Genomic DNA, 15,337 nt, shown 5'->3' on the forward strand with positions numbered 1-15,337 from the left:
CGTGTCTTGGGGTTGCTCTTCTCGGGGAGTATCTTTGTGGTGTTCTCTCTACTTCCTGAATTTGAATGTTGGCCTGTCTAGCTAGGTTGGGGAAGTTCTGGATAATATCCTGAGGAGTGTTTTCCAACTGGGTTCCATTCTCCCTGTCACTTTCAGGTACACCAATCAGTTGTAGGTTTGGTCTTTTCACATAGTCCCATATTTCTTGGAGGCTCTGTTCATTCCTTTTCATTCTCTTTTTCTCTAATCTTGTCTTCATGCTTTATTTCATTAAGTTGATCTTCAATCTCTGATATCCTTTCTTCTGCTTGATCAATTCACCTATTGATAAGGTATCATGCTTCACGAAGTTCTCGTGCTGTGTTTTTCAGCTCCATCAGGTCATCTATGTTCTTCTCTAAACTGGTTATTCTAGTTAGCAATTCCTCTAACCTTTTTTCAAGGTTCTTAGCTTCCTTGTATTAGGTTAGAGCACGCTTCTTTAGCTCGGAGGAGTTTGTTATTTCTCACCCTCTGAAGCCTACTTCTGTCAATTCATCAAACTCATTCTCCATCCAGTTTTGTTCCCTTGCTGGTGAGGAGTTGTAATCCTTTGGAGGAGAAGAGGCATTCTGGTTTTTGGAATTTTCAGCCTTTTTGAGCTGTTTTTTATTCATTTTTGTGGATTTATCTACCTTTGGTCTTTGCTGTTGGTGACCTTCTGATGGGGTTTTTGTGTGGACATCCTTTTTGTTGATGTTCATGCTATTCCTTTCTGTTTGTTAGTTTTCCTTCTGTCAGGCTCCTCTGCTGCACGTCTGCTGGGGTTTGCTGGAGGTCCACTGCAGACCCTGTTTGCCGGGGTATCACCAGCAGAGACCGCAGGACAGCAAAGATTGCTGTCTTTTCCTTCCTCTGGAAGCATGGTTTCAGAGGGGCATCTGCCAGATGCTAGCCGGAGCTCTCCTATATGAGATGTCTGTTTACTCCCTCTGGAAGGTGTCTCCCAGTCAGGAGATACGGGGATCGAGGACTCACTTGGGGAGGCAGTCTGTCCCTTAGCAGAGCTCAAGTGCTGTGCTAGAAGATCTTCTCTCTTCAGAGCTAGCAGGCAGTAACGTTTGTCTGCTGAAGCTGCGACCATAGCCGCCCCTACCCCCAGGTGCTCTGTCCCAGGAAGATGGGAGTTTTATCTATAAACCCCTGACTGGGGCTGCTGCTTTTTTTTCAGAGATTCCCTGCCTAGGGTGGAGGAATCTAGAGAGGCAGTCTGGCTACAGTGGCTTTGCCAAACTGTGGTGGACTCTGCCCAGTTCAGACTTCCCGGTGGCTTTGTTTACACTGTGATGGGAAAACTGCCTACTCAAGCGTCAGTAATGGTGGACGCCCCTTCCCCCACCAAGCTCGAGCATCCCAGGTCAGCTTCAGACTGCTGTGCTGGCAGCAAGAATTTCAAGCCAGTGGATCTTAGCTTGCTGGGCTCTGTGGGGGTGGGATCTGCTGAACTAGACCACTTGGTTCCCTGGCTTCAGCCCCCTTTCCAGGGAAGTGAACAGTTCTGTCTTGCTGGCATTCGAGGTGCCACTGGGGTATGTAAAAAACTCTTGCAGGTAGCTCGGTGTCTTCCCAAAAGGCCGCCCAGTTTTGTGCTTGAAACCCAGGGCCCTGGTGGTGTAGGCACCTGAGGGAATCTCCTGGTCTGTGGGTTTCTATGACCATGGGAAAAGTGTAGTATCTGGGCGGGAATGCACTGTCCCTCAGGGCACAATCCCTGTGGGCTTCCCTTGGCTAGGGGAGGGAGTTCCCCAACCCCTTGGGCTTCCCGGATGAGGCAACGCTCCACCCTGCTTCGGCTAGCCCTCCGTGGGCTGCACCTACTGTCTAACCAGTCCCAATGAGATGAGCCAGGTACCTCAGTTGGAAATGCTGAAATCACCCGCCTTCTACATTGATCTCACTGGGAGATGTAGACCGGAGCTGTTCCTATTTGGCCATCTTGCCAGCCCTTTCTGATAGATTTTGACATGCTGAATGACAACAGCATTATGAGCCTTTTCTTATTTAAATACTGGCATTATGCCTTCTATGTGAGGTTTAATGGGCTTCAGTTACAATAGAGGGTTCCTAGGGGCATTATTAACATTTAGAATGATGTCTCTAAGTAGTATCTTTGCTGCTTCTGTTAATTGATGGCACTGTTATCATGAATTATGGTGCAACATTCTAAGCAACAAAATAAAAGTTCATGCGAATTTTACTAATTTTTGTTTCATTGATTTATGAATTCAAGCATACAAATGTTAAAACAAAAATGAACCTTAGGAGTGCCTTCTAAGGTTCTAAGGTTAGAAGGTACTCTTTCTAACGTGTAGTTATCTGACATAGGAAACTACCTTTAGGGGAAAATTATTGAGGGGTAAAACATGAAAAATCTCTTCTAAAAATGATTAACTTATTAATCTTGAAAATGTATACAAATGGGACAGCAAGGTTTTAAAAATAATTCACTATTTTTGCTTGGGAAAATAAAAGAAATAAAAGAAATAAAATCAGCATTATTTTCTTTTTGTTAGCTATGATGTTCAGCATGATTTACATGATTTAAAATTTGCAAAGGAGACAACTGTTGGTCTGCATTGACTTATTAAAAGTATTTCCTTAAGAACCAACTCAGGAAATCTTAATTAGCATTCAGGGGAGTTTCAACAAATTTTAAGTTTCTGTTGAATAAATTTCTTCCTTATAATTCTAACTAATTTTAATATTTTGATTTTCTTCTGTGTGTAATAATCTAGCAACTGATTACTGTTTAGAATAAGCAATCTGTTCAATCTTTGTGAGGAATATTTACTTCTGTAATGATAGGATTGTTACAGTCATATTTTTTGCTTTATTTTTATTTAGTTCTGTTTGCAATGCATTTTTTCAAACATTCATTTGTTCGTTCCTGTTTTATTCATTTACTAAGCATTTACAGAATGCTTACTGTAAAATTGGCATTGTTTTTAATACTTAGGAAAACAATTTCCAGCATATGTTGAATGCTTTATATGTACTACTAAGTGCATTAGTTAATTATCTTTTTTAATCCCCACAATCATATACTGGGAAATAGCCTATTTATTAATGTGGGCCTTGGGTAAAAAGAGATGAATACATTGTAATCACTTTTCTTGGTAAGTTCACAGTCTAATGGAGTTGGACCCAGAAAAATAATTAATTAAAATTTTATGGGATAAGTGTTGTACAAAAGCTTGTGTTCATACTTGGACCTTCATAAGAAGGACTATCTAATTGTGCCTGAAGGAGTTAGAAAAGGTGTTACAGAGGGAATGACATTTGAGGTGAGTCTTAATTGTTAAATAGAAATTTGTCCAGGGAATGAAGGCAGAAACACTGCTTATAGCAATCATGAAATGATGAAGGAGCCTGGTATTTGGTGGTCCTGGTGAGTGAGCTGCGTGGCATTAAACTCAGGTGTTTTTGTGTATGTGTGTATGTAGGTGTGAGTGTGGGACTGTGTGTGTGGTCTGGGCCTGGAAGATGTAAGAAGGTAGGAAGGGAGGATAATGAGGCTGGAGAGGTAGATTCGGACTTTATAGTCAAGACCCTCACTAAGAGGTTTATTTATTTATATTTTTAAAAGTTTTATTTTATTTTTAATTGACACATAGTAATTATACATATTTATGGAGTAGAACGTGATGTTTCAATACATGTATACAATATGTAATGATCAACCTCAAATATTTATTATATCTTTGTGGTGAGAATATTCAAAATCCCATATTCTAGCTACTTTGAAGTATGTAATGTATTATTTATTGTTAACTACAGTCACCCTACTGTGCAATAGAACTGGAATTCATTCCTCCTATCTAACTGTAACTTTATACTGGCTGACCACCCTCTCCACATCCACCTGTAGCCTCCTGCCTTTCCCAGCCGCTGGTAACCACTATTCTATTCTCAACTTACATGAGATCAACTTTTTTAGATTTCACATATACGTGAGGTCATGGGGTAATTATTTTTCTATGTTTGGCTTATTTTACTTATGGTGCCCTCCAGTTCATCCATATTGTTGCAAGTGACAGAACTGTCTTGTTTTTTAAGGCTGAATAGTATTCCATTGTGTATGGACACCAAATTTTTCAATCTGTTCATATGTTGATAGACACTTAGGTTGATTCTCTTTCTTGGCTATTGTGAATAATGCTTCTAACAAACTTGGAGTGCAGATGTCTCTTTGACATTCTGATTTCATTTTCTTTGGATAGATACCTAGAAGTAGGATTAAAGGATCATATGGTAGTTCTATTTTTAAATTTTTCAGAAACCTCCATACTGTCGTCTATGATAGCTTAACTACTTTTCATATCCACTAACAGTGTGTAAGAGTTCCCCTTTCTTCACATCCTTGCCAGCATTTGTTATCTTTTGTCTTTTTAATGATGGCCTTTCTAACTGGAGTGAGATGATGTCTCCTTTTAGTTTTTATATGCATTTCCCTGATGATTATTGATGGTGAGCATGTTTTCATGCACTTGTTGGCCACTTGTATGTCTTCTTTTGGGAAATGCTTCTTCAGATCTTTTGCCCATTTTATAGTTGGATTATTTTATTATTATTATTTTTTACTTTTTTTTGCTTTGGAGCTGCTTGAGTTCCTTATATTTTCTGGATATTAACCCCTTGTTAGATGCATAGCTGGCAAATATTTTTTTTCCCATTTTGCCAGTTTGTCTGTTCATTCTGTTGATTGTTTCCCTTTGCTGTGCAGAAGCTTTTGTGTTTCATTTAATCCAATTTGTCTGTTTTTATTTTCGTTGCCTGTGATTTTGAGGTCTTATCCAAAAAAACCTTGCCCAGCTAATGTTATGTTATGAAGTGTTTGTTTTCTTCTAGTAGTTTCATAGTTTTGGATCTTACATTTATTTCATTGTGGCCAGAAATGTTATTTGATACAATTTCAATTTTTAAAATTTTGTTAAGACTTGTTTTGTAGTCTAACATGTGGTCTATCCTGGAAAATGTTCCATATGCTATTGAGAAGAATGTATATTCTACAGATGTTGGAATGTTCCATAAATGTCCTTTAGGTTCATTTGGTTAGAATGCAGTTTAACTCTGATGTATCTTTGTTGATTTTCTGCTTGGATGGATCTGTCCATCACTGAAAGTGGGGTATTAAAGTCTTCTACCGTTAATGTTATTGCAGTCTATCTTTTTCTTTAGGTCTATTAACATTTACTTTATATATTTAGGTGCTCTGATGTTGGGTGCATACATATTTACAATTTTATTTCCTCTTCCTATATAGACCCCTTTATCATTATACAATATATTTTTGTTGCTTTTCACAGTTTTTGACTTAAAGTCTATTTTATCTGCAATGAATGTTGCCACCTCTGTTCTTTTTGGTTTCCATTTGCATGGAAAGTCTTTTTCCATTTCTTCACTTTTAGGCTATGTATTTACTTACAGGTAAAGTGAGTTTCTTGTAGGCAGCATGTATTTAAATTTATTCAGCCACTCTATGTTTTCTAATTGCAGAATTTAATCCATTTATGTTCAAGGTAATTGTTGATAGGTAAGGGTGTACTCCTGCCATTTTGTTATTTTTTTTTCCAGTTGTTTTGTAGATCTTTTCTTTCTTTTTCTCTTACTTTCCTTTTTTGTGATTAGGTGGTTTTCTCTAATAGTGTGTTTTGATTCCTTGTTTCTTATTTGTATTTTGTTTTTTATAGGTTTTTACTTTGTGGTTACCGTGAGGCTTGCATAAAGCATCTTACAGTTATAACACATTATTTTAAACTGATAACAACTTACCTTAAAAAGAAAAGAATCACACAAAAAACCCCAGTATACTTTAACTCCATTCCCTCCAATATTTTGAAGTGTTGATGTCACAATTTACATCTTTTTATGTTGCCTATACCATAATTAATTAATATAATTATTTTTAATAGTTTTTCTTTTAGTCTTCATATTAAAGATACAAGTGGTTTACACACCATGATTACAGTATTAGAGTAAATATTAAATTAAGTCTAGTTTGTCTGCAAAGTTACTTTTATCAGTGAGTTTTATACCTTCAGATAGTTTCACACAGTAGCATCTTTTTGCACATTAGCATCTTTTCACACATTAGCATCCTTTTCTTTCAGTTTGAGGGACTCCCTTTAGCATTTTTTTTTTTAAGAACAGGTCTGATAGCAATTAATTGTTCATCTTGGAAGGTCTTTATCTCTCCTTCATTTCTGATGGAAAGCTTTGGTGGATACAGTATTTTTGGCAGCTTTTCTAACTCTAGCACTATGAATATATCATCCCACTCCCTTTGGGCCTACAAGGTTCCTCTTGAGGAGTCTGCTGCCAGATGTATTGGAATTCCCTTATATGTTATTTGCTCCTTTTCTCTTACTGCTTTCAGGATCTTCTCTTTGTTTTCAACCTTTCAGAGTCTGATATAACACTACCCCAAGACCTTTCAGAGTCTTGGGGTAGTGTTATTTGGTTTGAATCTGATTGGTGACCTTTAAAACTTTCCTGTACCTGAATATTCACTAAAAAGTTTTAAATTTGAGGATCAATTTGAATGAAAACATGAGCCATGCCTCTATATAAATGAATATTTAGAAAATATTTTAGAAGTCATGAGATTAACAACTTTAGAAGAGGTAAGTTGAACCAACTGCTGAATATATCTGTCTGATATATTCTTTTGGAGTTTATTGTCTCACTTTAAAAATTACCAATTAGAAATATTGTCTTTATAAAAACTAGTAGCAATGGTAAGTTTATTAGAATTAAACTGTAGAACTGAAAAGAAACATATCACTGTTTTAAATTTTTTAAACAACAAATATACTGAGTTTCCTGAATATTATGCAACTGCATGCTATCTAGTCTTGACTACTGAGCTACTAATCACTTTGTAGCTTAGAAATGAATAAATGAGTAAACCTTCATTTATTACCTTTTGTTTTCTTGAGACAAAGTCTCCCTCTGTCACCCAGGCTGGAGTACAGTGGCGCAATCTCAGCTCATTGCAACCTCTGCTTCCCAGGCTCAAGCGATTCTCATGCCTTAGCCTCCCTAGTAGCTGGGATTACAAGTATGCACCACCACGCCCAGCTAACTTTTTGTATTTTTAGTAGGGAAAGGGTTTCACTATGTTGGCCAGGCTGGTCTCGAACTCCTGGCCTCAAGTGATCCGCCCACCTCAGCCTCCCAAAGTGTTGGGATTACAGGCGTGAGCCACCATGCCCGGCGTATTACCTTTCTTTCTATAATTTGACTCACAGTCAGTTGGTACTGATTCTGCCACTAACCTGGTGGGCAGAAACAGTGAGCAATATCTGACTTAATATTTTAATGAGGAACAAAAATAGAGTGGATTAACTAAACAGAGAGGAATAAATAAGGTAATTTGGTCTAATCCTTTCATCCTTCTATTAAGAAATGTTTCTTTGTATTAAAACACATATTCAACTTTATTATTATCCATACCTGTATCATTTTTGCAGAATCACAGTAAAAGGCCAAGATGTGGCAGAAAGAGTGAATTATAGCTCAGGCTGATGGCATAATTGAGACTGTCAGTCTCTCAGGTACCACAGAGGAAGTAGAGAGTATTGACTACTAGGCAGTGAGAGTTAACATCAGAATAATCTTTCTGCAGTGGTCTCTTGTGTCCAGAGAATTGGGAGGCGGGAAGGGGACTGGACAGAGTTTGGCTACTGGAAGGGCCTGGTAAGTAGCATTAGTTAAGCATAGTAGGAGTTCAAATGCACAAGCGAAGAGGGTACTATCATGAGATTAAGAAAACAGGAAGCTTCAAGATTCCAGGGAGTTCAATCAAAACATACAAAGGTTGGGATGAATTAGAGTGGCTTGTGATGACTCTCTGGGCACTGGGGGCAATGAGATCACCAAGTGTTCTCTAAGAAAATCAGTCATCTGTGGCATGATTTCAGCAAGTTCTCAAGGCTAGCACAACACTGTTCATTGAGTAAGAGGTAAACTATTACTACGTTTTGAAATTTTAAAGTTGTAGCACAAGATTTTACATAGAAAACATCAGGCTCTTGTTATTTACATTATTCAGATCTGTAAGAATAGTTCCGTGTCCAAGAACTTGCTTCCTTGCTTCCTCCACACAAATTTGTATAGGTCTACTTCTTTCTAGGTATTTTTTTAAAGAAAAAATTGTTTTCAGAATGATTTTTATACTGTTTCATTTAAAAAGTATTCAAAATTATACTTTTTATACTTGCTCTAACAATGACTCCATACACTGGCATCATTATCGTTAATATTTTATATATTAATTTTAATTTTACTCATTGGAGGTTTGAAGTCTAATTTAAAAATTAAAATGTTAGAATTGTAATTTAAAGCAACATTTGTAAATGAAGGTTCAAACTAGCCGAATGCTGTAAGATGTTAAGGGATACTTTTCTTATTGCACTGGAATTGAAAACTAAAACTAAGGGCAAAGAGGTATCAGATGCCCCATATTGTAAAGGGAGCTTCCAGTGGTCAAAGACTCACTCCATTTAGTTTAAATGCCTCCCGATTAGGCCTTGCTTTTTCCTGCTATTACCCACTCCCATGATTATGGTTGAAGGGTAGGTACCCTAGAAAGCAGACTCCGAGATAAAGGTAAAGATTAGCATGCAGGATATTACTCAGGGAACATTTTTAGGATAAAAACCTGTGAAAGAATGGAAAAGGAGGCAAAACTGAGTAGTGGGAGAAGTTGAACTCTGTTGTAGTCTCAACAAAGCCCTCAGGTGAACCTTTAGGAAGCTGAGATGGCCCTTCAAAGTTGTCTTGAGTTGGGGCAAGGCCTGGGCCTTTATATCCCCATAAGTATCAGCACTGGGCAGAGGACCAAGACTCATATCCCCAAGATATTGGATATGAGCCACCCAGGGAAGGGGCATGATCTAGAGTGAGGCAGCTGTTTTCTGCTGAGGTAATTCTTGAAGGGGCTGCCAGCTAAGGACTATCTGCTGTCATTTGAATTGGTGTTCCTTTATAGGAAATGTTCTGTTTCTCTCTGGCTGCTTTCAAGCTTTTTTTTCTTTGTGTTTAGTTTTCAGAAGTTTAATTATAGCATGGATTTTTTAAAAAATTTATCTTATTTGTCTTATCTTATTTGGGGTTCACTTCATGAATCTGTTGGTCTATCTCTTTCACAAAATTTGTGACATTGTCAGCTATTGTGTCTTTCAGTACTCCTTCAGGGCCTACTCTCTTTCTCAACTTCTGGGATCTTTTGGTTTTGTCCCATGGGTTTCTGAGGCTCTGTTCATTTTAGGAGACTCTGGGTCCTATTTAAATCCCTTATTTTAGTAGGTAGTAACTCTGTTAGGTTTACATCGTAGGTCCTAGCCTACTTTAGTGGGCAGTAGTTCTAAGGACAATTTAATTTTCCAAGATTTTTTGGTCTTATTTTGGTGGGCCTTGTGTATCTGGTGCTGGTGGGGCTCCCAGGGGTCTATACTGTGATGCCTGAGGGGACAGAACACATTTTTCTAGGCTAGGCTTCTTTATGTTTCTAGGTGGGGAAAAGAAAGTCTCTGGTCTGACTGGATGAAGAGTGCTTCCAGGCCTAGCTACTTATTGTGGTGGAGATTCCCCTCCACACCTCCCTCACCAGCATCTCCCACCCACAAGTATCCTGGTGAAGGAGGGGATTCTCAGGCCTGGTGGAAAAGAAATGACTTCTGAGGCCAGAAGCTTGTTGAGACAGGATGCCTCCTGTCTGTGGGAGATGGAAAGCCCTTCCTGGGCTGGGTGCTTGTGGTAAGATTCCCCAGTGCCTGTGCTCCCCAGCCATCAGTGTCCCTTGGTGTTGGAGAGGAAAGTCAGGTCCGTAGATCATCCTGGCAGGTGCTTGTTGAGGCCTGATGCCCCGTGCTGGTGCTGTCCTGTGTCTTCTGGTAGGAGAGGGGAGTCTCAGACCCTGTTGAGAAGGAGAACATTTTTCCTGCTGGTTCATCAGCTTATCTTCAGTGGGGCTCCTCTTCAATCCCAGGGAGGACTGAGCCTACTTGGGCTGCCTTCTGTTGCTACATTGGATGTCAGGGAATGCTGGCCCTGGGTCACCTTCTTCCTTTTGGTGGGAGGTTGTAAGATGCCCTGCAACTATGCTGTTCCTCCAGACCTGGGTTCTCTAATCAGTTCACCCTCCTTTTGCACCTTTCAGAGTTCTCCTTTGGTTGCCTCTCGCATTATCTCCAGCGTTTACAGTTGTATTTAGCAGGAGTGGGTGGGAGGAGGAACCAGAAAAAACAAATTATGCTATCTTCACCAGACTTCAGCTTCATCTGAGAGGGCAGAATTTTGCAAAATAGAATATCGTAATCTCTCATCAACTTGTAAAAAATTTTAAAAAAAATCTTCAACATCATGATTCTGATGTTTAAATATTATGTATTATAAAAATAACAACATATACTTTATAGATTTATTTACTATAGTTATATCTTTTTTTAAATAAGATACAAGGTCTTGCTTTATCACCCAGGATGGAGTTCAATGGCGCAATCATAGCTCACTGTAACCTCAAACTCCTGGGCTCAAGCAATATTCTTGTCTCATTCTCCTGAGTAGCTAGGACTAATAAGTGCATGCCACCATGCCCAGCAATGTATTTGTTTATTTATTTATTGTAGAGACAGAGTCTCTCTATGTTGCACAGACTGGAACTCCTGGGCTCAAGCAATCCTCCTGCCTCAGCCTCCAAAAGTGCTGGGATTACGCCACCACACCTGGCCTATAGTTATATAATTTAATGTGACTATTTTACTTACCTGTTTATTTCCAGCAATCGTTCCAGAACAGCCACAAACAGTGACTACCTGAAAAATGGTTGTTAAATAATTAAATTATAATTTGTATTCTTTATAATTGGCATAGAGGTTTCAGTAATTTGCCCAAAATTATATAACTATTGATGAAACTAAGGATTAATATTAAATACTTCTTTTGGTAGACACCACATCTATTGCATCTGGAATACCATATGCAAATTCTCTTATTACCTATTGCTGCATCTGTTTTATTTCTGGTCTTTAGAAGTCTCAGAGTGACATTAGAATTACAACTAGTTTTAGTAAGTATTATTTAGTTATCCTGAGAGATTTGTTAAATAATAATAATTTTTAAAAGCCTCTGTAGTCAGTAATCAGCTTCTCACCAATGATAATACTTCTGTCTGAGATTAATATCAGTGCTTTTCAATGCAGCAGACTAAAACTAATCTCTATTATAGAATCCACAGCTGGCCTGATGGAACTGTAATACAAAAGTAATTGGTATTTTTTGATGTCCAGAGGATGCAAATTATAATTTGTCTCCTGTGTACAGAAAAAAAGTGTGTCTTGTATGGTAAATAATTAAACTTGATACTCATAAAGTTATATTTTTCCATGTCTTAAAGGAGATGACTATTTTATACTTACAGTCGATATAAATATAATAATGTATTTATTTCATCCTTGAACAATGTAACTAACATTTTACTATATATTAATAGAAGCCAACTACAATTTGAAATTAAATAATTAGACTTATTTAGGAAAGAAAAATTATGGTTTTTTATTTGCTACTTCAGGTTATGATGAAGATTCTCTATTTGATTGTCCTAAAGTCAAGAATGAGGAGTGCTAACGATAGAAAACTTAGGACAAATGAAAACATATATTTTACTTTCATTTTGTGTATTTTGCAATAAGCATATAAAATCTTAGGTTAGCCAGTTTGCATTTATTTGATGAAAGCCAAACTTTAATGTAGTATTTATTATTGTTTTCATAAATCTAAATTTAGCTCAAGTCTTTCAGCATTGATAATTAAGAAATATATGCCCTCTTTAATAGCGATGTATGTTTAATTGTTCATATTACCTGAAGTCATACTGAGAATTTTCATCTTTTTAAATGTCAAAATTTGGCTAAGGTTATCAGGATATTAAATGTAATATTTCAAAGGAGTATGATCTCTTATAGATAATTCCAGATTTTGTGAGATCAAAATTGCTGATTATAATAATGTTAGTAAATAATATGGGAAAGGTATGGCGAAATATTTAAATTTTTACAATTTTAAGTTGTATGATGTATGTAAATGCTATTTTTTCTGGTAACTTTGGTTTAAAAACCAGTAATACTGCCTTTGACATTGGTGTTAACTGGATACATTGCTTTTTGTGGGCATTGGATATCCATCTATTTTGAAATAATTTGGGAGAAATAAAATAATTCCTTAAGATATAGTCTAGCATACTAAAAAGAACATTTGTTTGATGTTGGGTGAAAGGACTCAAGCATTGGATTGAATAGTTACTTACCAGCCCATGACCTTGGGCAAATAACTTAACCTCACTATAGCCTCAGTTTCATCATTTGTTATAGGAAAAGTAAAATTCCCAATTTGCAAGATTATTTGGAGGATTAAGATATCATAAAGATCAAATCTTAAACATTGCCTGATACATAATAGATGCTTAGAAAATTGTCTTCAGGATCTATTTGTATATTCCATTATTTGGTTGTTATTTTGGGCATATTTTCTACCTTGATAAGCTTACTAAAGTATGTATCAGCTGGTCCACTGGCTTGGTGATTCAGAGCATAACTTTCTAATGGAAATGAATCATACAAGAGCTCATTTTATGATTTTTATAAGCTGGTCACGTCATGAGTTAGATTTGTGCAAGAAGTTAGTTCGAACTTCTTGATGATCCAAGCATTGCGTTAGGGTGAATGCAGAGCCAGGTCAGCTTCTGCATGAGCCAGCATACTTTAGATGTGTAACAAGACTTTAACAAACTGGAAGAAGAATATTGCTTTAAAATGATGTGTCCAGATTGGAAAAAGAAGAAATGGAAACATATGTTCCATTGAATTTTCATTAATTTATTGTAAGTAGAATTGGCACTACTAGAGAAAGTCTTCATATACTACAGTAGTTTAAAAAAGAGAAATACAGAAACAGGGATTATATAATTTCCACTTTATTCCTTACTCTATATTCCTTACTATATTACTTACACTTTATTCCTTTCTCTATAAGCTGGCCACGTCATGAGTTAGATTTGTGCAAGAAGTTAGTTCAAATTTCTTGATGATCCAAGCATTGCATTAGGGTGAATGCAGAGCCAGGTCAGCTTCTGCATGAGCCAGCATACTTTAGATGTGTAACAAGACTTTAACAAACTGGAAGAAGAATATTGCTTTAAAATGATGTGTGTAGATTGGAAAAAGAAGAAAAGGAAACATACGTTCCATTGAATTTTCATTAATTTATTGTAAGTAGAACTGGCACTACTAGAGAAAGTCTTCATATGCTACAGTAGTTTAAAAAAGAGAAATACAGAAACAGGGATTATATAATTTCCACTTCATTCCTTACTCTGACTTTTTTGTGGGTTGGAGGGTATGGAACTTGGCTTCTCTTATGGGAGGTGCTTAAGAGTGTGAACTTTCTAGTAACATTACATGGCTTCAAATACTGGTGCCAGCCTTTGGTCTCGAACATGTTACTTAACCTCTCCGTGTTCCAATTTTTTAACATATAAAGTGGAAATAGAAAATGGTACCTACTTCATTAGCTTCTTTGGGGGACTGAATTAGCTAGTAATACGCCTGGCATCTAACAAAAATGATAAATGTAAGCTATGTTATTTTTTAGTTAGGATTCGGGGTATAAATGTAAATTTGAGTAATTATCTGGTGATTACTTTTAGCCATTGCATTCCATTTCTCTTTAGCCTTCCATTACACTTGTACAAAAGCAGTGGGTGCCTAGTACAATGTTTGGCATACATGAAGCGTCTTAATGGTTGGTTTTAGATGAATGGAAGCAGAAAGCTTAGAATTATCATGGGGACATGATATTTAGCCTTGAAATTCTTATTGAGCTGAAGTATTCTTACCTATCTTTGTGGGTTTTTTGATAGATTTTCCATATCTTTCTAGTAAGTTAATATCTTCTCAAGTTTTTTATTTTTATTTTTATTTTTTTTTGAGACGGAGTTTCGCTCCTGTTGCCCAGGCTGGAGTGCAATGGGGCGATCTTGGCTCACCGCAACCTCCACCTCCCAGGTTCAAGCGATTCTCCTGCCTCAGCCTCCCTAGTAGCTGGGATTACAGGCATGTGCCGCCACGCCTGGCTTATTTTGTATTTTTAGTAGAGACAGGGTTTCTCCATGTTGGTCACACTGGTCTCGAACTCCCGACCTCAGGTGATCCACCCGCCTTGGCCTCCCAAAGTGCTGAGATTACAGGTGGGAGCCACCATGCCCAGCCTATCTTCTCAAGTTTTTAAACCTTAAGCTTCTAAAGTATACTTTAAATTTTCAAGAAATTTAATTAGAAAGTAGTGGAAAATTTCTTACTCTAATCTTTTCTAGCCAAGTTTTTCCTTTGCATTTAAGTTCAAGACCTGTCATGCTTTGTGTCTAACAAACATGAAAAGAAAGTGGTTAAAGAGACTTACCTTTAGTTGAGATAGTTTTACTATTTTTACATTAAAAGAAGACCATTAAAAAGTTTATATATTTGATATCTGTCAGAAATTGAAACTAAATATCTTTTCATGTATAGGTGAAAATGTTTCATTGATGTAGTTTACATTTACATCAGAAGCACCCCATTGAACTGAAATCTCATCTAACATACCAAAACATTTGATTCAGATTATTTACAAACATAGAATAATACTGATGATTTAGGTGTTCTCCAAGCTATACTTATGCATGCTAAATTTCAGCTAATTTTGACTTATTTTAATAAACATATTTTAATATGCATTTTAAAATAGTTATTAAACTCTTAAATTTTAAAAGTACATATGTCCTTTTACCCATAATACTTTGGAGAATTTTTTTTTAATTTTTAATTTTTGTGGGTACATAGTAGATGTGTGTGTATATATATAGAAGTACATGAGATTATTTGATACAGGCATGCAGTGTGTAATAATCCCATCAGGGTAAATGGGGTATCCATCACCTCAAACATTTAGCCTTTGTGTTACAAACAATCTAATTATACTCTTTTAGTTATTTTTAAATATACAACTAAATTATTATTTACTATAGTCACCCTGTTGTGCTATCAAATATTAGTTCTTACTCATTCTTTCTATTGTTTTTACCCATTAACTATCCCCACTTCCTCTCCACCCCTCGAATACCCTTTCCAGTGTCTGGTAACCACCCTTCTTTTCTCCATGTCCATGAGTTCAATTATTTTAATTTTTAGCTCCCACAAATAAGTGAGAACATGCAAAATTTGTCTTTCTGTGCCTGGCTTATTTCCCTTAACATAATGATCTC

General features: G+C 36.8%; 1 protein-coding gene across 3 annotated transcripts in view, besides 1 other annotated feature; it reads left to right on the forward strand.

Annotated features, from left to right (window-relative positions):
- The window catches only part of MACROD2 (mono-ADP ribosylhydrolase 2), a 2,057,682-nt gene that overhangs the window by 473,884 nt on the left and 1,568,461 nt on the right, over positions 1–15,337 (forward strand). The window lies entirely within an intron of this gene.
- Positions 1,754–2,313: an enhancer, noted in NCBI's record as "NANOG-H3K4me1 hESC enhancer chr20:14451799-14452358 (GRCh37/hg19 assembly coordinates)". NCBI's record gives its function as "activates a minimal SCP1, AML or CMV promoter by ChIP-STARR-seq in naive H9 embryonic stem cells {active_cell/tissue: H9 hESC(naive)}" and the evidence as "EXISTENCE:reporter gene assay evidence [ECO:0000049][PMID:30033119]".

The sequence above is a fragment of the Homo sapiens genome, chromosome 20 (genome assembly GCF_000001405.40).
Source record: "Homo sapiens chromosome 20, GRCh38.p14 Primary Assembly".
Taxonomy (NCBI): domain Eukaryota; kingdom Metazoa; phylum Chordata; class Mammalia; order Primates; family Hominidae; genus Homo; species Homo sapiens.